Source organism: Homo sapiens, chromosome 1, assembly GCF_000001405.40.
Source record: "Homo sapiens chromosome 1, GRCh38.p14 Primary Assembly".
Taxonomy (NCBI): Eukaryota; Metazoa; Chordata; class Mammalia; order Primates; family Hominidae; genus Homo; species Homo sapiens.
The window spans coordinates 243,916,222-243,939,092 of NC_000001.11; the positions used below are offsets into that span (position 1 = coordinate 243,916,222).

At 44.3% G+C, this 22,871-nt stretch overlaps 1 long non-coding RNA gene across 1 annotated transcript in view, besides 1 other annotated feature; it reads left to right on the plus strand.

Annotated features, from left to right (window-relative positions):
• The first annotated feature begins 1,180 nt into the window (after window positions 1-1,180).
• The window catches only part of LINC02774 (long intergenic non-protein coding RNA 2774), a 129,916-nt gene continuing 108,225 nt past the window's right edge, over window positions 1,181-22,871 (plus strand). Inside the window, exon 1 of the long non-coding RNA NR_033883.1 lies at window positions 1,181-1,305. This is a non-coding gene — a long non-coding RNA (long intergenic non-protein coding RNA 2774). The remainder of the gene's footprint in view (window positions 1,306-22,871) is intronic.
• Window positions 8,087-8,735: an enhancer, noted in NCBI's record as "H3K27ac-H3K4me1 hESC enhancer chr1:244087610-244088258 (GRCh37/hg19 assembly coordinates)". NCBI's record gives its function as "activates a minimal SCP1, AML or CMV promoter by ChIP-STARR-seq in primed H9 embryonic stem cells {active_cell/tissue: H9 hESC(primed)}" and the evidence as "EXISTENCE:reporter gene assay evidence [ECO:0000049][PMID:30033119]".

Genomic DNA, 22,871 nt, shown 5'->3' on the forward strand with positions numbered 1-22,871 from the left:
TGCACTCCCACCAGCAATATATGACATGGCACATTCTACATCATTAGATCTTACCTCCACTCCCTGTTTCATAGGTGAAATCTGATATCTCTGTGCTGTTTCATTTCTTTAATCTGTAATGAAATTGAAACGTCCCCCTCTCCCTGCTCCAACATATTCAACACAGTTTTCTGACTCATGCTCTAAAATCTTTACAAATCTCCCTGAACTTTCCGGATTTTGTTTCCTGCCTTGTTGTTTTCAGAATTATTACGTTATTCCCAGGTATGCAGCATATTACTTCCGGTATTTTCCAGAATACCAAGGAGATCATTTGTCATCTGTTAATAACCCCCTCTTTCATCCCTGTTTTTCACACCTTGGCTTTTAAACCCCCTTCTCAGAGGTAGGGATTCTTCCTCAGTTCCTTGAGGGGAAAGTGGAGCTGGTGGAGGTGAGAGCGCTCATTGAACCTGCATCCTTACTGAAGCAAGAGAACTTCCACCCGGGCCAGGTTTGCTGGTGGAAAATGCTCTGATAAACGAAACCGTCTCTTCCACGTCTTCTCCATTTGACTGGCGTGTGAACTCGTTGCTCTCGCTAAATGAGGCCGCTGAGATGGAAACATAGATGTGTTTACGGCAGGGTGGCAGTGCAGGTAACAGGGAAGTCCTTGCTAGGGACATCAGCAACTTGCAGCTTAGTGGTGGAGAAAGCGCGCTCTGGAGGCCTGGTTCCACATCCAGTGCCCCCTGGGCTCGTGTGTGCCTCAGTTTCCTCATCTGCAAAATGTACCTACTTCACAGAGTCTTTACAATTCAGCCACTCCCTGCAAGGCTGTTATAGCCTGGTGCATTGAAAAGTGCGAAGAGAATGGAAAAGGAGAGAAGGGCGGGGAAGGGAGGGCTTAAAAAGTGGGGGAGAGCCTGGGTAGAACAGAGAAGCGAGCAAGAACAGGTGGGAAGAAAAACAGCAGCCTGATCCGTCTTGCTTTTCCCTTTTCTCCATGCAGCCAGCACTTTTCCTTCTCACTCTCCCCGCACGCCCACGCCCACCCGCTTCTGCACCGAGAACCTCGAGGCGCGCACGCACGTGGAGGTGACGCCAAGCCCAGCGGCGAGGTCGGGGCTGGGGGTGGGGGGAGCCGGCGTCCCGCGGGCCCCCGAGGCCGGGGAGCTCCGCCAGCGCATTGTGCGAGCGAGCTGAATGCAGCCGAGGGGCGAGCGCGCGGGCTCGCACGGATTAGCCGTGCTTTCCCATGAGCCACAAAAGAATGCCCGAATCTGGGACATCTGTCATCAAGGGGCAGGCTGCTCAGGATGCAAGGTAACCAGAGCTTTCCTCGGACTGCTTCAGTCTTTGGGGACGTGGGGTCACCCTAATCCTTCCTGTTTATATTGTGAACGCGTAGGCAGCGAGACTTAAGCTCTGCGTCGGTCAATAAGCATCACGACGCAGGCATTCCTGAGCGGCTACGTCCTCCGGTTGCTTTCTCGGTTTTTTGGAAGAGGCAGCGTTGCCTCCCATTTATTCAGTCCCCTCACAGCAGCGCGGCTGTAGCGCGCCGCAGAAGAGCGCCCCAACGCTGCCGGCCCCTGTTTTGTTTCTTCTTTCTGCATTCATCCACTTTGTCCTCCCATTATGGCGACGAGTTCAGAAGATTGTTAATATGCAATTGTCCAGACACGTCTAATCGAAGAGTTAATTCTCAGAAAATGACAAGTTTATTATGGTGTTTGTGGAAGCCAGGAGATAAATTAATTGGTAGAACCCTATTAAAATGTACTCAGAATTCTCCCCCAAATCACACATGTTTCTCTTTCATTCAAATTCGATGCTTTTCAGAACCTGGACTCTCAAGGCTGCAATTTGTGCAATTAAACGTCTGTTGTTAAAGTTTAATACTGTTTTAACTCCACTCCTAGTCAAAGGAAAGCGAAAGCATCCTGGAGTGGAGCCTGAAGTCAGAGCTCACAGAAGAAGGGCTATCCCCGTGGGGCCGCAGGGAGGTGATCTGCTCCTGGAGACAGAGCCCACCCGAAAGGAGCAACATTAGAGGGTTCCAACAGACACACCTGAGTTCCAAAGGACCAGCCCCCAACTAAACCTGTTTATCTTCAAGAAATAGTGAACGTGTTTTTCCTAAGTTGTTTATTTACTGATTCAGTCCACAACCATGTGTGAAGGGTTCAAAGATTCTGAGCCTTGTGCTTGGAATTGGAAGAGGAAGCGGATGGATCTGCTTTTGAGGGGTTCATGAGGGAGAGGATGAGGAAAGGCAGGGAAGTACATGGTTGGGTGTGCTGAGTGCCAAAGTCAGGTTACAAGTATATGATGTTTAGGAGAACAGAGAGGAGGCTGAGAGGATTGGGTGAGTTTTCCAGAGAAAGTGGTATTTGGAGAGGGTGTTAGCGCTGGTTCTCAGTTTGCTGGTGCTTTGGAAGGAACTTAGGGAGGGGACAAAAATTCATATTCTCTGCCCCCCCCCCCCTCCTCTACCGAGTTATAATAGAATCTTCGAAGGTAGGGCAGGGAACCTGTATTTAACAAGCGACTTCGCTGACTCTATGGTGGTCAGCTGAGCCTTTGGTCCCATTGAAAGCATGAGCGACAGTGGTGTGAGAGGAATGGTTTAGGGCTAATGGAACAGCATGTGCAAATACAGCAGGGGTGAGACCTTATTTGGCCAATGGTGAGTTGTTAAACCATTCGTCTCCAGAGCCTATGGTTGGTATTCCTGCAACAACTGTGTAGAAAGCCTTTACTTCTAGAATTTATTTGTTCCCTTAGGTTGACAATTTTATTACCCTAGTAGGAATCAATGGAGAAAAAACACACGTTACAGTACAGTTAAGTCTGAACGTGGTCGATAGCTCTTGGAAACTGCAACTTTAAGTGAAACGAAGTATAACAAAAATATTTACCATAGGCTAAATGATATAAACAAGCAAGTTCTTATGGCATATTTGTGGTCACAAAAACATTACCAAAATTCTAAATAAAGACTCAACGCCCTTCTAATATTAAATATTGAAATAAATGTGAGCTATAGACACACTTAAGAAAGATTAATAAAAACAAGTAAGAATTATTTACCTGATTATTCCAGTTCAGGATTGAGGGTGGCCAGAGTCCCTCTTGGTTGTTCAGGGCAGCAGCTGGGAACCCTCCCTGGACCCTGGATGGGATGCCATCCCATTGCAGGGTGCACTCACACACACAGCCACACTCACACTGGGATATTGTAGATACACCAATTTATCTAACATGCACGCAATCTTTGGGATGTGGGAGAAAACCGAGTACCTGGAGAAGACTCATATAGACATGGGAAGAATATGCAAACTCACACAGACGGCGGCCCTGGTGGGGAAGTGATTCTTTTTTCTCATCAGTGTTTTTTTGAGGCAGAGTCTTACTCTGTCGCCCAGGCTGGAGTGCAGTGGTGTGATCTCGGCTCACTGCAACCTCCACCTCAGGGGCTCAAGTGATTCTCATGCCTCGGCCTCCCCAGTAGCTGGATTACAGGTGGTGTCACCACACCTAGCTAATTTTTGTATTTTTAGTAGAGACGGGGTTTTGCCATGTTGGCCAGGCTGGTCTCAAACTCCCAGCCTCAAGCAATCCCCCGCACCTCGGCCTCCCAAAGTGCTGGGATTACAGGCATGAGCCACCGCACCCAGCCTTTCTCAACAATGTGATTTTGAAAAGATGTTGAATAAAATGACGGTATTTGAGGACCTGCCAGCTTGATTTAGGGCCCCTCTCCAGCAAGACAAGCACACACAAACACACTGCTGAAATGTATCCAGTTACCATAATGAGAGAGACCTGTTTTTCTGAGAGTTGCCAGATATCTCATACAAAGTCTTACATAAAAGGTAAATTCCTATTTTTAAAAACTAGATTAATGGCTGAATATTTATTTTATAAGTAAATAATTATTTTGCAACTGCATCATAAGATATGTAGTCATAAAGTCTTTCCATGTAATCAGCTGTGACAGAAAAAAAAAAGACTTTGAGATGCTTGTGGGGGAAAAGTTGTTGTATAGAACTGAACTGTAAAGCAACTGACCCTTTCTATTTTAAGCCTTGTCACTAGCCAGTGATATGAAGTGTTGAAGTATGAGAATGGAGAGATTTTTTAAATTTTCTCAACTAAGGAGGTATTCAAACTTGATTTTCTGTTTCATAATTAAAGCTTCAAGTCTTCTGACAAACACTACGGCAATACATGTCACCTCTGGTTATTTTTTCTTCCTTATTCTTAATTCATTGCTGAATGTTTTAAATAAGTCATTCCTTCTGTCTGCATTAACATTTAACTCCACACCTGCATGCAAAGATTTCCTTAAATGTAACCTTCCAGTGGAACTTTTTCTAATTGAATGAAGGGAACTTCCTCTTCTGCTGTTACATTAAATAGCCCCTCCTCAGTAAAACCTTTTCTGATTCCTAGACCTTTCTTGGATCCTGGTCCTCATTAGCACTTACAAGTCTTCTGAATTGCCCATAAATATAGTGTTTGTTGTTTAATATATCTTTTTCACCCCCTTAAGCTCCTGAGGATGCAGACCATATGTATCAAGTTCAACAATGTGTCCCCAAATCTAGCACATATAATTGTTCAATAATATTTGCCAAATTAGTGAATAACTACAGATTTTCATCAATTGGAAATACCATCTTTCCTTAGACCAGTAACTCCTTCCGAGAGGCCAGGAGACATGCTTTACTACCAAGGGATGTAGGGGGGACTTACCAGACATTTGCTGTCTGTGATTAGTAATCAGGGATATACCTACGCTTTTAAAGTCTTTTATTATACCAGTCTGTTGCTTTTGTAAGGCTCTGAATGGCTATGTCAATTATCGTCTATTGAGCATCTATTAAACAGCCCTCTGTTAAGCAAAAATGCAACATTAGATTTGGCCCCTGCCCTCAGAGATGTTATTTTTGGTAATTGTTTTTCTACTCATTCTCCCGAGTACTCAGGGAAGAAGCCCCACCTCCCTCCTGGGGTGAATTTTGATTAGTCCAAGCCATTCCAGCTGGCCTCATTCCCCTTGCTAGTAATTGGTTAAGCAGGGGCATGTGATACATTTCCCAATTCTGGTCAACCAGATATGAAAGGAAAATTGCTGACTGGTGGTCTTCTGTGAAAAGATTTTTTTTTTTTTTCAAAAGAACACATTAGAGACACTTCTCCTTTTCCTCCCCCTGTGTGTTATTGTATAAGGATAAAGTCCTTGGAGCTATTGCAGACATGCTGGGACCATGCAGCAACCATCCTGAAGAAAAAGTCACTGCACTGAGAAAGCAGGGAAGACTCCAGGCCCCTAATTGCATAGATATGGGTCCAGTCACTGATTAACCCGAAAACTGTTCCACCTATAGTCTTGTTGTGTGAGATAGTACCTGCTCTATGGTTTCAGGTACATTTAGCTGTGTTTTCTGTTCTCGGAACTGAAAGCACCCTAACAGATACATGTAATCCAGGGAAGCACTGTGACATGTACATTAGTCTTGTGATGGGAGCAGAAAGAGTCTCTTAATTTTTTTCTATAAGACCCCGAGTAAAAGTAGAGAGAGGTTTTATTTGTTGCAATTCCACGGTTCCATTTGAGGTCACACCTACGTGCACAGAAGGCTGTCATTTATTGAATACCTATTCTGTGTGAAGTGCTTTATCTTATTAATCCCCGTAAAAACTGTAGACCTACTTTACAGATGAAAACTGTGAAGCACCAAGATTTCAAGGACAAAGCCCTGCTAGGAAGTGGTAGAGCTAGGATATGAAACCAGATCAAAGTTCTCTCTAATAGCTGGCATTGCTTCTCAGTCATCAGGTTGTTGATATCTTTTGCGTAGCGTATCCATTAAACAATTTATGACAAATAACAAAGCACCAACGTTGAAATGTGTGAGGACAGATTCAAGGCTATGCCTACATAAAGTCACTTTCATGAGCTTGCATTCCAGTGTGTTTGCCTTCTGTTGTGGGAGGGAAGAGAGTGGAGCTCTCTCCAGCCCTCAGAAAATTGTGCCCACCCTACAACCCAATTGATCTGTGCTGCAGCCCTGAATGGGGGAATGAGTAGAAGAAGGGGCAAGGCAGGTGAAGGTTTTGCGCCTGAAAGTCCTGGGAGAAAGTATTAGGAACTTCAGCCATAGGACTGGGATACAGGGCTTTTCTTTGTCACTGTAAGGTAATCCTGATTCCTCACTCCATAACTATGAGGGGTTCTGGTATAATTGTGATTTTAAAAGCAAAGCTGTTACATGTGTTAAAAGTCATAGAACCACGTACCAAAAAAAAAAAAAAAGAGTCAATTTTACGTAACGTAAAGAAAAAAGCCCAGCTGGGTCATTGCAAAGGTGTGCCTCTCTGGAAATGTGGTTTCCTTTCCTTGACACCACCAGTGATAAGTATCCAAGGACATGGAGGTCCTGGTCACAAATTAGCGCTCAGAAGACAGATTGAGGGGCCGGCAGCAAAAAGATGCTTGGAGTCTGGGGCGTTGTCAAATGGCAGAGAATTAAAGAGGAGTAACTAGTTTATTAAACAGGTCAGAACTTCTCAAGAGGCAGGTAGAAGCAGACTTCATTTTCACCCCAGTGATCCCACTGAACTTACTCTATGACCTCACTCTAACTTGCTCTTTGGAAGAAGTCTTGGTCAGATCACATAACCTTGGTGGTTATTATTTGTTTCTTTGTTTCCAATTTTTAAAAAAATTGTGGTAAAATATGTGTAACATAAAGTTTACCATTTTAACCATTTTTAAGTAGATTCACATCATTGTACAGCCGTCCCCACCACCTGTCTTCAGAACTCTTTCCATCTTCCCAAACTGAAACTCTGCACCCACGACCCACTAGCTGTCCATTCTCCCCTCCCCCAACCCTCGGCAACCACCATTCTACATTGTTTCTATGAATTTGACCATGTACTTCATATAAATGGAACCATACAATGTTTGTCCTTTTGTCACTGGCTTATACTACTTAGCATAACGTCCTCAAGACTCATCCATGTTGTAGTGTGTGTTGGAATTTCCTTCTTTTTTAAGGCCAAATCATATTTCACTGTAGGTTTGTATCACATTTTGTCTGTCCTTTGATCTGTCGTTGGATACATGGGTTGCTTCCACCTTTCGGCTATTGTGAACCCTGCTGATGTGAACATGGGTGTGCAAATGTCTTTATTCAAGTTCCCTGCTTTCCATTCTTTTGGGTGTATACCCAGAAGTGGAATTGCTGAATCATATAGTAATGCTATTTTTAACTTTTTGAGAAACCGCTATACTGTTTTCCACCGAAGCTGTGCCATTTTACATTCCTGGATCGTTATTCTCAGAGAACCAAAATCCCAGTCCAGTCTGACAATCATATGTCTCTGGTTCAGCCTGGTGCAATTTCAAAATGTGATATTTTTATCATACAACAGCTTCTCTCCTCCGCAGCTTGGGCCTTCTTTCTACTTAGAAACCCGCCAGGGAGGAACACGGCCGGCTCATTTTCCCTCCTTGCTTTCCCTCATCTCACGCTCACTGGCTGGCTGCTTTGGCTCCCCAGGGTCAGGCACTGGGTGGGGTGCAGGGAGTTAGGGACACCATTGACGTCTGGCAGTGGTCCCTTCTGGGTGGGACCGATGTCCAAAATGACTGTCTCTCCTTGAGTCCCTTTGCGAGTTTCTCAGAAATCCTTTCTCCAGCTATTGGGGAGACTGAGGCAAGACTGCTTGAGCCTGGGAGGTCAAAGCTGCAGTGAGCTATGATTGCACCACTGCACTCCAGACTGGGCAACAGAGCAAGACCCCATGTCTTTAAAAAATTCCTTCTTGGAATCTGTTTCTGGCAATGCTTTTCCTCTGGCTATGTGTTTGTGGGTCATGCTCAGCCCCTGGGATCCTAGCAATCTGTCCCTGTGCAGGGGGATGTCTGTTCCTCCAGAGGGTCCTTGTAGGTAGAGTCTTTTTTTTTTTTTAATGGCACCCCAAGGCCAGCCCTTTTGTGCTGTGGGTAGAAGTGTAGCTTCCTCCCTATGAAGTCTTTCCTCTGGTTGCTCTGCCAATGCTAGTCAGACTCCTGTGTTTAGATGTGTACCCTGGAAGAGCCGGTTACCAGCTCCTCTTTCTCCTAAATTCCAGAGGACCCGTGTCAAGCTGCTGGTATGGATTTCTTGAAGTCTGCTCTTACTCAGGCTTAGTGTGGGGCAACCACACCCTTCCTCTCCTGTGAGCTGCAGTGATTACTGGTGACTTTCTAATACACAGTCCTTCTTGCCCTTCTTCTCCTCCCCTAGAAGCCTCCAGGTTGGTGACGGTGGTGGGCTCATGCTAGCAGAATCAGATTCACAGTCCCCTGTTTTTCTTACAAAGGTGAACTAGTGTCTTCCTCCAGGGCAGCGTTTCTCAAACACAGCCCTACTGACATTTGGGGCCAGAAAATTCCATGCTGTGAGGCCTGCCCCGTGCATTTCAGGATGTTTAGCAACATCCCTGGCCTCTGCTCACTAATTTCCAGTAGTATCACCTCCGGTTGTGACAACCAAGAATGTCTCCAGACATTGTGAAATACCTCTTGGAGGGCAAAATTGCTCCCGGTTGAGGAGCACTGCTGTGGTGTCTTGAGCTGCTTTTGGCCTTTGGCATTCCACAGAGCCCCCTTTTGTTATTCTGTGGTAGATGGCTTCTGATATACGGGAGCTACAGCCAGGCTGCAGGCAGACCCTGAGGAGACTTGCAGGAAGCTAAATTGAAGTCGTTTCTGTTTACTGCCATCTTCTTGTCTCTTTAGAAAATTCTTGTTTATGTGTTGCAACCTCGCCTTAGCTGTAACCCAGGAGGTCAAAAAGCAGGTGACATGGGCACACGGGGAGGGAATGCAGCCCCTCTGCCAACCTGCCCCGGCAAGGCCAGCCTTGGCTGTGGGGCGGTTGATAATTAGTGAGCCTTCGCAGAGAACAATAACCTGGGCTTCCAAATCCTGCTGCCTCTTCCTACAGGGAGAACCTCCCTTCTTTGTTAACCTAGGCAGATTTGGATTTCTTTCCTTTTTTTTTTTTCTTTTTTAAGGAAATCAGCAGTTTCCTTATTATGTTCTATTGGGATTGGACAAACCCTAAGAGCCAGGGTGTGGGAGCTGAGCTGTTTGAGCCTGTCCTGCTTCAGGTCAGGTTTGTTTTTGGTACAGAGCTGGGCCCTGCACTGGGGAAGGGGAGGAAAGTAGCTGTTATTGACTGGACAGTCTGATAGGAACCCTTCTTTCAAAGAAGATTGTATGTGTGTATGTGTGTGTGTGTGTGTGTGTGTGTTTCCCAACTAAGTGTATCGGTTGCTCATGGGCAATAAATGAGTAAGGGACCCTCTTGGGCTTCCCAGCCTAGTCGCAAGCCCCCATAGTGAGTGCTCAGCTCTGGCCTCTGGCCCCAGTCTCTGTTGCCCTCGAGAGCGCTTGGCCAGGGAACTTGTCTTGCTCTTGGCAGCTCTGATCCCAGAGGCCAAAGTCACAGCTTTAACAATATAATCCTGAATATAGGAGCCATAAGCAGACTTACCTACATTTCTGTACTTTTAGTGAAATAGAAGTATAGGATGAGTAGATGTACAAGTAAAAGATTATCAAACATGAGAGGTGATAGGAGAGAAGGCTCAGAAACAAACAAAAGAGTAAGAGACAGATGCTGCCAGAAGCAAAATTACATACATAGACCAACAGAAGAATGAAAAATAATAGGAAAATATATGGAAACATAAAGGAAACAGATTTGAAATATAATATCCCACCTGGTGTGCAGCTACTTTACATGAGCCATTCTTGAGAAGTTTCAAGGAAGCGCCATGGGATGGAAGCGTTTTGGAGAATGAGGAGGAGGTGACCTGGCCTACTGAGATAGACGTCGGGATAGGGTTCTGTGCCTATGCAATAGCCATTTGCCCATAATTTCCCCCGCCACCCCCCACCTCCAGCAGGTATTGGGCAAAGATTTTATTCCAGGAGTGAATCATGATGGGCCTGAACTTATTTTCGTTGTGTTAAGTGATTGATCTGGGTATGGCCATGAGACCCAGTGCAGCCAATAAGATGCAAAGAGAAGTCTACAGAGGGCTTCCCTTCCTGAATCCAAAGGGAGCCCAGCAAGGGCAAAATGTTTTTGCCTCTGCCCAGTTCTCGCTTGCTGGGGATGCCCGTGAGAGAATACGATACCGGAAGCTTTGTTAGCTAACTTTGGACTCTGAGCTGACAAATATTAGAATGAAAAACCAATCCACAGAGCATGGTGGAACAGAGGCACAGGAACAGTCTGGCCGGTGAGGGGACCCTTGAGCTGCTGAACTACCCTGCACCCACCCACCCCTCCAGACTCTCGTGAGGGCAACAGTGAATAATCCTTACCGTTAAGCCATGGCTAATTGTTTTTTTCTCCTGATCTAACACATGCTAAGCGGATGCACCAAGCAACCCCTATATTATATGTTTCCTATTTCTTTAAATGGTCTATTAAGCCAAGTTCTTAGGAAATGACTTACATTTTTCTTTAAAAAAAAAAAAAAACTTAAAAAAATCCTGAGAGCTAAGTAAAAGGTTATGGAAAAATAGAATTCTTTACAAAAATAACACACTGCATACATATTTGCTTGATATTGTGAGAACCGCTCAGGCTTAGAGAAACATTTTTTAATGTCTGGTGTTGTTGATCTTGGACATGGTTATCTTGCTCTCTGTCAAATGCTGGATTCCCACCGAGAAGCAGCCACTTACTTTTCCCTCGCTTTTTGTTCTGATGATGCTAGCGATCCCTTGTATGACAGACACAGAAAAGAATGCAGGACACAAATGGGGGAATGCATTCAACTCACATAAGAATTTAATGAGTCAATCCAGATTACAAACCCCTCACTGGCAAGGTTATATCTTTGTAGTGATTTGTTCTCACCTCCTTCTATTGTTGTTTACTTTCTCTATGCCAACAACAGTAGTCAGAGATTAGAGTGACTCTCGCCATTCATCAATAGAGGTTCAGTGGCCTGAGGTTTCGAGCTGTGGCTTTTGTTCCAGCTAGATATTTTCATGTAGTTTAAATTAATAAAACATGAAGGAATTTCCAGTATAATGCATGTGCACTGCTTTGCTCTTTGACTGCATATTAAGTGTATGCATATGTCGTCCTTCTAAGGAAATAGAATCACACAGCTCTAAGCTTTAACTTGCTGTCCAGGTTCCCATTTGATTCTCCCTCTATTTCTTTTTTTAGGAGAAAATATGTAATAAAAACAGGGACAAGAACTTTGGTTTTTCTTGTTGCTAATAACAGAGAATTACCAGAGCAGCTCTTTCTCTCGTCCTTCATCATGGGAAAGAATGATGCTAGCAATGCCTGGGACTGAAGGTCACGCTGCCTGGCTTTGTGGGGACAGATGGCCATTGCTCATCATGTTAGCAAGGAGCTTGATGCTCACTTCTGGACATCAGCTGCTCACTATGTATATTAAGTGATAATTTAGCTTCAGGTGGCACTGACCCTGGTGCTGTCTCATCTCCTGCCACCTTAATGGGAAATATTCAGACAGCAGTACCTTACTTGCCAGTCTTCCATTATGAAACACAAGCAGACTCTTTCATATACCAAATAATGATAATAATACGTACTATTGCGTCTTATCATTTGGATTTTGCTTCGCCACCTAGACATTCTTAATTCAGAAGTCCAAGGGACAATTTTGTAAGTTATATGAAAAACAAACCACCTTGTGAAAACAAAGCAACAGGAGCCACGGGGCTGAGGTGGGTGGGAAGGAGCAGAGCATGGCAGGGGTTGAGGCAAGGCCGCTTTCATCAAGAGCTGGACCATCACTAGGATTCAGAAGAATATGAACTTCTTTGGTTTTGGGGCTTTACTGAGAAGTTCTCTGCTTCTAAAGTAGCTTACAGTTCTCTGAAGCAGCTGCATCATTAATTCTCATTGAATTCCTATAAAGTCAATGCCTTCATGGGTAAGTGGAAGAGCCAGGCTCCCAGCGCCAGCCAGCTCTTCTTAGATGTTTGTTAACCCCAGGGTCCCACTTAGATGGTCCTAGAAACATTTATTTTATTTTATATATATATATATTTTTACCACATTCCGTGATGGTCTGGGTACAGTATCTACTATATATATTATATAGTACCGGACAAAATATTGAATCAGGCTATGGAAAATATGGATAGGATTGGAGGACCACAATCCAAAAATCATAAAATCTTACACTTCTGCTAAAATGGACTGACAAATTTGGATCTCAGTTTCTTGGTTACCAGAGGAAAATGGGAAATATGGTAAATTGTAAAATTAAGGAACATATTCTCAACTTCAGAATTCAAATTTTCATACAGAAAAAAGCATGCCGCTTTTTAAAAAGATGCAAATTTTTCCTGACTCTCAGGTCTTCATAAGAGTTCTGGCTTGTGACCAGGTGCGGTGGCTCACACTTGTAATCCCAGCACTTTGGGAGGCCAAGGTGGGCGGATCACCTGAGGTCAGGAGTTTGAGACCAGCCTGACCAACATGGTGAAACCCTGTCTCTACTAAAAATACAAAATTAGCCAGGCATGGTGGCACACACCTGTAATCCCAGCTACTCGGGAGGTTGAGGCAGGAGAATCACTTAAACCTGGTAGGCAGAGGTTGCAGTGAGACGAGATCGTGCCATTGCACTCTAGCCTGGGCAACAAGAGCAAAACTCTGCCTCAAAAAAAAAAAAAAAAAAAAAAGAGTTCTGGCTTGCATCTTTTCTTTTTTGTGATGAATTCTTGCTCTGTCACCCAGGTTGGAGTGCAGTGGCATGATCTTGGCTCACTGCAACTTCCATCTCCTGAGTTCCAGTGATTCTCCTGCCTCAGCCGCCCGAATAGCTGGGATTACAGGGGTGCACCACCATGGCTGGCTAAGTTTTGTACTTTTAGTAGAGACGGGGTTTCACCATGTTGGCCAGGCTCGTCTCAAACTCCTGACCTCAGGTGATCTGCCCGCCTCCCAAAGTGCTGGGATTATAGGCATGAGCTACCACACCCAGCCTGGCTTGCCCTTCATAGGCCACAGATACTCATGTAATAGGCAACAGGCAATAACTTTACCAATAAATCCATTAAAAGGTTTCCTGCTGTGTGCATACAGCTATATCCACAAGTCTGAAGTACTCTTGAGCCCATGCCATGGTGTGCCTTGCGGAAGCCATTTCTTCCACTCTGTTGTATGGGCTTAGATCTTCGTATGCCAGTTCTAGAGTTCTAGGGAAGCATTTGCCTTCAACTATGTTGCAGAAGACTCACTCCCTTTCCAGGCCAGATATGTGCAGAATCTTGCATGCTCCCTTTTTCTTTCCAGAAGCATCTCTACGAAGCTTTCCTGACTGATTTTCTCAGATATGCCCTCATACAGGATTTAAAAGGCAGGGGTGGGCCTGAGAAAATCTCACCCTAATCATTGTAGAGCTGTGACCAGAGCAGCAAATAAAGACATAGTCAGTGACTTCCCTAGCTCAGTCCCCAGGCTTAAAAAAGCCAGGCTTGTTTTTTTGTTTTTTTGTTTTTTTCCCCTAGACCATGTTATTAACCATAGACTCATCATGATGCCTGCTAATTTGCTTCTAAGTTATAAGGAAATACCTGTGGGAAGCAACTGAAATTCAGTTGTATATTCAACGTACTGAAGAAGGAATTCTGTTAAAGAAGGAGGCCCCCTTGGAAAAGGGGCTTTTCCAATGTCTATATAACAAATGGTGGAGGTAGAAATTTCTTTGATGGATGATGAGTACACATGGGTGCCCTTCTCAGCAGATATGGTTAAGGCCTTCCCTCCAGGGATGGACTAGGATAATGGGAAATTATTTTATATTTGCTAAATGCTTTCTACTTTGCAAAGTTCATGCAAACACATGATCTCATTTGATTTTCACAACGTACCTGAAAAGTCAACAATTATCACTCTCATTCCTGATGAAGAAACTGGGGCTCAAAGAGATTACGTGGCCTGTGTAAGCTTCTGAGCTAGAATTTTCCTCAAACTGTTAAATTCCCGAGGGCCTGCCAACTAGCCAGGTTTTGCAAAACAGACAAGGAGTGGTACTAAGCAGAGTTCCTCCATTCAATCCCAAATTCGTTTAACACATACCTCTGTGCTTTGGTGTCCTCATCTGCAAAATGGGAATAACATGATGTATCTCACACTCAGAGAATGTGGTGCAATTCGAGCCCTACCTGTGCCTGGCGTCTAGATCTAGATGGTGTTCAAGGAAAGTTTGCTATCATTGTGTCTTCGTTTCTTTCCTTACTGGTTGCCAACCTCCACCTTTGAATCTTGCTTGCTTGCTTGCTTACAGGGCCTCGCTCTGTTGTCCAGGCTGAAGTGCAGTGGTGGGATCTCAGCTCACTGCAACCTCTGCCTCCCATGTTCCAGCGATTCCCCTGCCTCGGCCTCCAGAGTAGCTGGGATTACAGGCACCTGCCACTACGCCTGGCTGATTTTTATACTTTTAGTAGAGACGGGGTTTTGCCATGTTGGCCAGGCTGGTCTCGAACTCCTGACCTCAAGTGAGGCACCCACCTAGGCCTCCCAATGTGTTGGGATTACAGGCGTGAGCCACCATGCACCCTGCTGGAATCTTTCTTTCTGCTTCTCTCTTGAAGGCCTTTCTTATTCTAAGTTTTACCCAGTGGCATCCTGTGGAATATTAGAGACAATAGTCATCCCAGGAGTAGAAAATTCAGTCCCAGCTGCCCTGTTTTCCTCCTAACCCTGCAATTTTGGACCGGATCCTGCCATCCTGAGCAGCCAGTGAGTCTGAAAGAGAGGGCTAATTCTAATCCTTTCCCCTGGGACCTCTTAGTGTGGATTCCTTTTTTGTTGTTGTTGTTGTTGGTTTGTTTGAGCAGAGCCACTTTAACTTTTAAGGGGCCCCCAAAGTGTTTTCTTGAAAGGGCTGGGTTGGGAGGCCCCCTCTCGGGCCCCAGGCTATGGCCGGGCCACTTCCTCCCCTCATCAGAATGCACCACCACCCCCAGACTGGAGAGTGTGGGAAGAGCTGCCTGGGACGCTGTGGGTCGAGGAACTTGCTGGAATCTCTGCCACGGGGCCCAGAGCTACCCCGTGCATGACAGAGAAGGACTTAACGAGTGAAGGAGGCTGGTCTCCTGCGTGTCTTTGGACCTGGAAAGGGAGAGGAATTATAAATGACTCAGGGAGCACAAAGAGGGGATTATGGCCCTGGCCGTGAAAGGGAGCGAGCCGGCTGATAATGCACTGCTGCAGCCTCGGCTCATTCCGCTCATGCCTTTGAAGATTTCCCTGCAGCCAGTGGCGCAGGAACACAACCCCGTGGACACGGAAGGGCACCACCGCGGCCCCTGGCAGGCCTCACCTGTAGCCGCTGCGCCCTCCCCGCGGGCACCGGGCTCTGCATCCAGGAGGCTCCAGGAGGCCCAGGGGCCTGTGATTCCCCGCAGCTCGGTCCATGTTAGCCGCCCCAGGCCCTCCTCGTGATTCCAAATAGAGGGGAGCGCGGTGCCCATTCCTTGTTTCTTTCTGATTGCTTACCGCCCGGGCCAGTTGCACAGCATGCGGCCGAACTGCGGGGTGGTTAAGGAGGGACAGCTTATGAAAAAGGTAGGGGTTGTGCAAAAGAGAAAACTCCAAGCATACGCTGGAGTTTTCTTAAAATGCAGATTCAGATCTGATGGCATAGGGATTTCACTCTGCTGCAGAGCTTTCCATGACTTATCTTAGAACGGAACAAACATTTGATGCTTGGCCTTTTATGTGCATAATCTATCAGTTTACAGGTAAGAGGACTGAGGTGGAGAAAATAGCTACATGACTAGGATTAGAACTCGGGTCTCTGGCTTCCTGTTATGCCTTTTAAAGTAGGTCACGCAGCACTTTGGGAGACCAAGGCAGGAGGATCGCTTGAGCCAGGAATTTGAGACCAACCTGGGCAACACAGCAAGACCCCATCTCTACAAAAAATGTAAAAAGTAGCTGGGCATGGTGATGCACCTGTAGTCCCAGCTACTCCAGAGGCTGAGGAGGAGGATCACTTGAGCCCAGGAGTTCAAGGCTGCAATGAGCTAGGATTTCACTCCAGCCTGTCTCTTAAAACAACAACAGGCTGGGCACATTGGCTCACGGCTGTCATCTCAGCACTTTGGGAGGCTGAGGCGGGCGGATCACCTGAGGTCAGGAGTTCGAGACCAGCCTGGCCAACATGGTAAAACTCCGTCTCTACCAAAAATACAAAAAAAGTTAGCTGGGTGTGGTGGTGGGCAACTGTAATCCCAGCTACTCGGGAGGCTGAAGCAGAATCACTTGAACCTGGGAGGCAGAGGTTGTGGTGAGCTGAGATGGTGCCACTGCACTCCAGCCTAGGCAACAAGAACAAAACTCCATCTCAAAAACAAAAACAAAACAAAACAGAACAAAAAAACAACCTACAACAAAAGTAGGTGAGTTGAAGCCTGGTCACTCTGAGCCACAGGACCTCAGGTCCTTTTGTGCCTCCGTCCATGTAGCCTTTGGAAAATTCAGAATGTTGGAGTGGGTACTGAACCCGGATGGGAGTGGCTAGGTGAGAGAGAAGGTATGCGTGTGTCTGAATGAGGTTCTTAGTTTAACATTTTACGTGTCTGTGAGTGGTATGAAGTTGGTAACCTCTCACTGCTGCTGCATTCTAGTGGGTCCTCTGAATTTCAAACTCCCTTTGGCTAGAGAGAAGGTAGGGCAGGAGATTGTGAGCTATGGGCAGTAGGGGATAGCTGGGACTGAACTGTCTCTGTCTGGGCATGTAACTCCTCCCCCACGCTGTAGACTATGAACGATCCCTTCCCACCTGGCCCTCCGCTCTCAAACATCTCTGCTCCAAGCTCATAGATAGGCAGAAGCACACTGCCACTAAAAACCAGGGTTCTAACTGGGCATGATGGCATTATTTCCCACAATAAAACCAGCCGACCAAACAAATGTCAGCAAGACATCCTTTAGTTCTTGCAGACATGGAAATCTTCTTTTTATTATAGCTAAGAATAAAATGTGATTTTGTAGAAGCTTTTTTTTAATAATTAACTTACTGTTTTTGAAGACTAGTCCAGAAGAGTAAGCAGGAGACTGAGTTTCAAACTTTGGTCCTACCTTTTCCTCTCACTATGAGCTTGGGACAAGGCACTAACCCCCCTAGTGTCGGCCTGTTTATACGGAAAATGAGAAAAATGCATTGATCAACCAAAAATAATTAAAAATTTACAATGTGGCAATTACTAAGCCTGGAGATATAGTTCTCACATGGAACTTATATTCAAATGGGGAAAACAGATATTAGGTAAGAGACACAATGAGAATTACATATTATGGTGAGTACGATGACGAAAGTGACCACGGTGAGCCGCAATCACAGGTGACCCTTCAGAAAGAGCAGCACTTTCCAAAATGTGGTCTGCAGACTCTTGGTAGGGAGTAGTGGTAGAGGTTGAAACCCTTTCAGGGAGCCCACAAAGTCAAGATAATTTTCATAATAATGCTAAGATGTTTTCCTCCCCTTCCCCTCCCCTCCCCTGCCATTCCCTTCCCCTCCCTCCCCCTCCCTTCCTTCCTTTCCCTCTCCCTCCCTCCCTTCCTCTCCCTTCCCCTCCTTCCCTCTCCCTCCCTTCCTCTCCCTTCCCCTCCCTCCCCTCCCCTTCCCTTTCGTTCCCTACCTTCCCCTCCCATCCGTTCCCCTCCCCTCCCTTCCCCTCCCCTTCCCTTCCCCTCCCCTCCCTTCCCCTCCCCTCCCCTTCCCCTCTTATCCTCTTCCTTCATCTCCCCTCCCCTCCCCTCCCCTTCCCCTCCCATCCCCTACCTTTATCTCCCCTCCCCTCCTCTTCCCTCCCCTTCCCTTCCTCTCCCTACCCCTCCCTTCCCCTCCCTTCCCCTCCCTTCCCCTCCCTTCCTCTCCCTTCTCCTTCCTTCCCCTCCCTTCCCCTCCCCTCCCCTTCCCTCCATTCCCCTCCTGTTCCCTTCCCCTGCCTTCCCTTCCCCTTCCTTCCCCTCCCTTCCCCTCTCATCCTCTCCCCTCCCTTTCCTTTCCTTTTTTTTGAGACAGAGTTTTGCTCTGTTGCCCAGGCTGGAGTGCAGTGGCACGATCATGGCTCACTGCAGCCTCGACCTCCTAGGCTCAAGCAGTTCTCTCATCTCAGCCTCCTGAGTAGCTGGGACTGCAAGTGCATGCCACCATGCCCAGCAAATTTATTTATTAATTTTTTGTAGAGACAGAGTCTTACTGTGTTGCTAGTGCTGGTCTCAAATTGCTGGGCTCAAGCAATCCTCCTGCCTCAGCCTCCCAAAATGCTGTGATTACAGGCATAAGCCACCATGCCTGGCCTCCTTTTTTCATTGTATTTACATTTGCACTGATGAAATAAAAGTCATAATGGGTAAAACTGCTTGCACCTCAGCAAGAGTGAAGCAATACCACCAAACTGTACTAGTAGTGATTGTACCTTTTACCACCATACGTTCTTAAAAACAAACAAATAATATGCCACTTTCATTTATGAGTTTTCTTGATGAAATACTGAAGTGTTTAAATTTTATTAAATCTCAACCCTTGAATACACATTTAAAAAACATTCTGGAGGAAAATGGGAAGTATGCATGTAGTATTTCTGCTACATACCAGAATACTATAGTTATCTTGAGGAAAAGCATTTGTGCAGTTGTTTGAGTTGCTAGCTAAACTAGCTGCTTATATCATGGAATACCACTTTTACTTAAAAGATGATTGACAGAAAAATTATTGTTATTCTGACTTGGATAACTGGTAGACATTTTCTCAAAAAAAAAAAAAAAAAAAAAAAAAAAAACTGAAAGTATTTGTTGCCAGTAATGAAGTTTGAACTTACAAGTGAAGATTGGAATTTTAGAAATCTTATATCTTCCACCTTGAACTTGACAGAATCTCAGTGCTTAAATACTTTTCTGATGAGATCAATGTTGATATTAATGAACATGATTTTTTAAACTTTGTGTAATACAATGTGTCAACATTTGAGAGATCTCCATAGCTCAGTCAACTTCTATTTTTCAAATGATCAGTACACAATGTTACAAAATCATAAATGGGAAAAAGATCCATTCTAAGTGCATGTGTGCCAGTGGATTTTAGTGTAATAGAGTAGAAACGTTCATTCATACAATTTCAGATTCCACATTGCCACTAAGCTTTTAGAAACTCCCACATATCAAATGTTGGTATAATATCAAAGAAAAATATACACAACTATCTGAAAAAGCTATTAACATACTCCTCCTTTTTCCAATTATATAACTGCGCAAGATCAAATTTTCTTCATATTACTTCAACCAAAAGAATACATCCCAGCAGACTGAATGATGAGAGAGATACTGATGAGAATTGAGTTGTTTTCTATTAGGCTAGACATTAAAGAAAGTTGCAAAACTGTAAACCAATGCTACTCTTCTCACTAACTGCTCTGGACAAATCTACTCATTTCTCAGAAAAATATGTGATTTATGTTGTCATGTAATAAAGTTGTTATTTTAAGTGGATTAACAAAATTTTTAAAATTTCTGTTTTAATTCTTATTAAGGAAATATTGATGGGATATAACTCATATAAACAAAATCCCTCTGTCTTTTTGATAGAAAAAGAGTCCTGAGAAATAGTCAAAATATTTGAGAACTTTGAAATGAGGTATTCAAGGGAGGCCTTTCTGGGGAGTGTTGAGACCCAGAGGAAGAGCATTGCACAAAAGGAAACGTGAGAACAAATGTCTAAAGATGGGAAAAAGCTTGAGACATTCAAGGGAGAGAAAGGATAGCCACGTAGGTTCACAGAGATTATTGGTTTAAATGAAAAAATGTGCATGAAACTCCTTGGCATTGTACCTCGCACATAGTATATGTGAACTAAGTAGAATCAGATGCTGGGAGGGCTGCATGGTGAGTGGCTGGGGCTTTGCGGTGGGTCCACATACCTTATGTGCTCATGGACATCTCTTCTAGGTCATTGGGTAGCTGCATCTTGCATTCTTTGTTTTTTCCTTCTGGTCCTTGGACTATATGTCGAAAGATCCACCTTTCAATCCTGGTGCTACAGAGTTTAACTCTGGACCAGAGAGTTGACCCCACAGGATCTCAGTTCTCTCTTCTGTAAAATGGTGATAATAATCCATGCTTCCTTCCTAGGATTTCATGATGGTCACATGAGAAGGCATAACAATAATTCAGAAAATGTAGAGACCAAGTACTCAACACTATGCTTGCACTGCCTAAAGGCTCAATAAGTGTTTAAGTAAACTGTGTTTGAACAACACACACTACAGTCATCCCTCAGTATCTGTGGGGGATTGGTTCCAGGACTTCCTGCAAATACCAAAATTTATGCATGTTCAATTCCTTTATGTAAAATAGAGTGGTATTTGCATATAACCTATTCACATCCTCCTGTATACTTTAAATCATCTCTAGTTACTTATAACATCTAATATAATGTAAATGCTATATAAATAGATGTTATACTGTGTTGTTTAGAGAGTAATGACATGACAGAAACGTCTGTACCTGTTCAGTACGCATTTTTTCCCGAATATTTTTGATCTGTAATTGGTTGAATTCATGGATGTGCAACCCACAGATACAAGGGGCTACCTGTACTTTGTTCCGCTGAATGAATGTATTTGAAAATACAATCTCATGAATCAAACGCCACGCCTGACCCTCCACAGCACAATATCTGGGGAAGCGTTCTTCCTTTGGCTCATTGAGTGTCTGCAGGCTTCATGACAGCTTTCTGGAGCCCACAAACATGTAGACATGTAGTCAGGAATAAAGTTACTGCCCTCAAATCTTATGATTTGACTTCTAAGAAATTACATAACAAGATAGCGTTACAATTACTTACTGTGGTTGTATGCTACTTACCAATATATTCTTTTACGTCACTGCAGTGGAAATGTAAGTCAGCCAGGTAAACTCTATTGATTCCTTTCAAAAAACATGTATGGATTGCCTACTATGTACTAGGCATTGCTTTTCTGGCCTCTTTGTAGAAGCTATTTTGGAGGAGTTGAAAATTGCTCTCTGCGTTGAGATTAGGGGGGCATTTTTGTATTTATACCCTTCCTATAATCTCTGGCTTTATTCATAGTCTTTTCAGGGTTATTCCTAAGGACCGCCATGCTTAGGAGTGAGCTTAGAACATCTCAACCTTTGGTGCTGCTTGAGGGAAGAGGCATTTTGCTAAAAGCCAAGATCAGTTAGTGAAAAAGAATTCAGTCTACCAGGCAGGAGACTCATGGGCCTCTCAAGTATATACTCTCTCGTGCCACATGACAGGGAACAGATGTCACAGAAGAGACTGGAGGTGATGGTGCTGTTTTTTACTGTTGTTTGTTTACAACAGTTTCTATTTTAAGGAGTCTTATTTTATATTTTACAAAAATATTTCATCACCTATTTAACTCTAAATTTTACTTAATTTTTCATTGTAATTATTTTACAGGTTGCTTCCCTCTTTCTAGGAATTTTGTTTCAATTTAATTTTTGTTTTGTTAGAGTACTTCCTTGAGTGAGTTTTACAGAAAGAGAATAAAGTGGAATACATTTAGAATCCCTGCAGAACAAAAATATTTTTAGTTTGCCCTCACATATGAAAAATTTGTTGTCAGGTATAGAAATCTTGGATCAGACAATCTTTTTTCCTACAAAGTCTGAAGACATGGCTTATGGGTGTTAGGGTTGAGTAGAGGATAGTGCCAAATGATTTCCTTTGCTTTAAAAGGGGAATGCCCTCTTGTCTGAGAGCTGCAAGATATTTACTCTAGAGGAAAAATTGTCCCAGACCTGGTCTGGGGAAAACTTTTCTCATGATGTATGTCTCCATTTCCTTCTGGGAAGATACTAAAATTTCTGATAAAATGCTTAAGCAATTTTAAAATAGACTTTAATGAGCTTAGAGAGCCTACCTTTGAGAAATTAGCATTCTACCCGCTCAATTGACTGTCAGCCAAGAATTTAATGATCTTGAACCAGGTCTTCTTTTCCAAAAACCTCTCTTTGCCCCTACAAGTGTGTCTACCAAGAGAGAAATCCTCTCAATTGGTCTGTTTCTGGACTCTTCTTTTGAATCAAATTTGAAAGGAAATTTTGACAAGTGCTCATGACTCAATTTCCTGAAAAGTTTTGTTTTTTCTTTTTAATCATCATTTTTGGAGTTCAGAAATTTCCCTGGGACATGTCAGAGTGTGAAGGATGACATTGCTGTTGATGAATCGCAGATAAGGAAGGCATAAGAAAGCCATTGATTTGTTCCAGAATTATTATTATTATTATTAGTTTAGACAGGGTCTCTGTACGGCAGGTGCTGGAGTGCAGTGGTGCAATCACGACTCAATGTAACTTCAAACTCCTGGGCTTAAGTGATGCTCCTGTCTCAGCCTCCTGAGTAGCTGGGACTATACATGCCCACCACCATACCCAGCTAATTAAATTTTTTTTTTTTTTGTAGAGACAGAGTCTCACTATGTTGCCCAAGCTGGTTTTAAACTCCTGGGCTCAAGCGATCCTCCCACCTCAGCCTCCCAAAGTGCTGGGATTACAGGGTGAGCCACCACTTCCACCCTGTTCCAGGATGTTTAACCTGTAAATAAAGAGGATGCCATGAGGTTGTGGAGGGGAGGTCTTCAGTGGCGGGCAGAGACAAAAGCAGAAACATGCTCATATCACACTGAACACCCTAGCAGCTGCTTGTCAAAACTCTGTACTTGAAAAGTCAATTTTAAGAGCTGATTTGAACCATGTTTTTACCTCCTCCAGAGGTCCTGAACTTGAGCCCCACAGCAGACCAGCTGAATAAAAATTTCT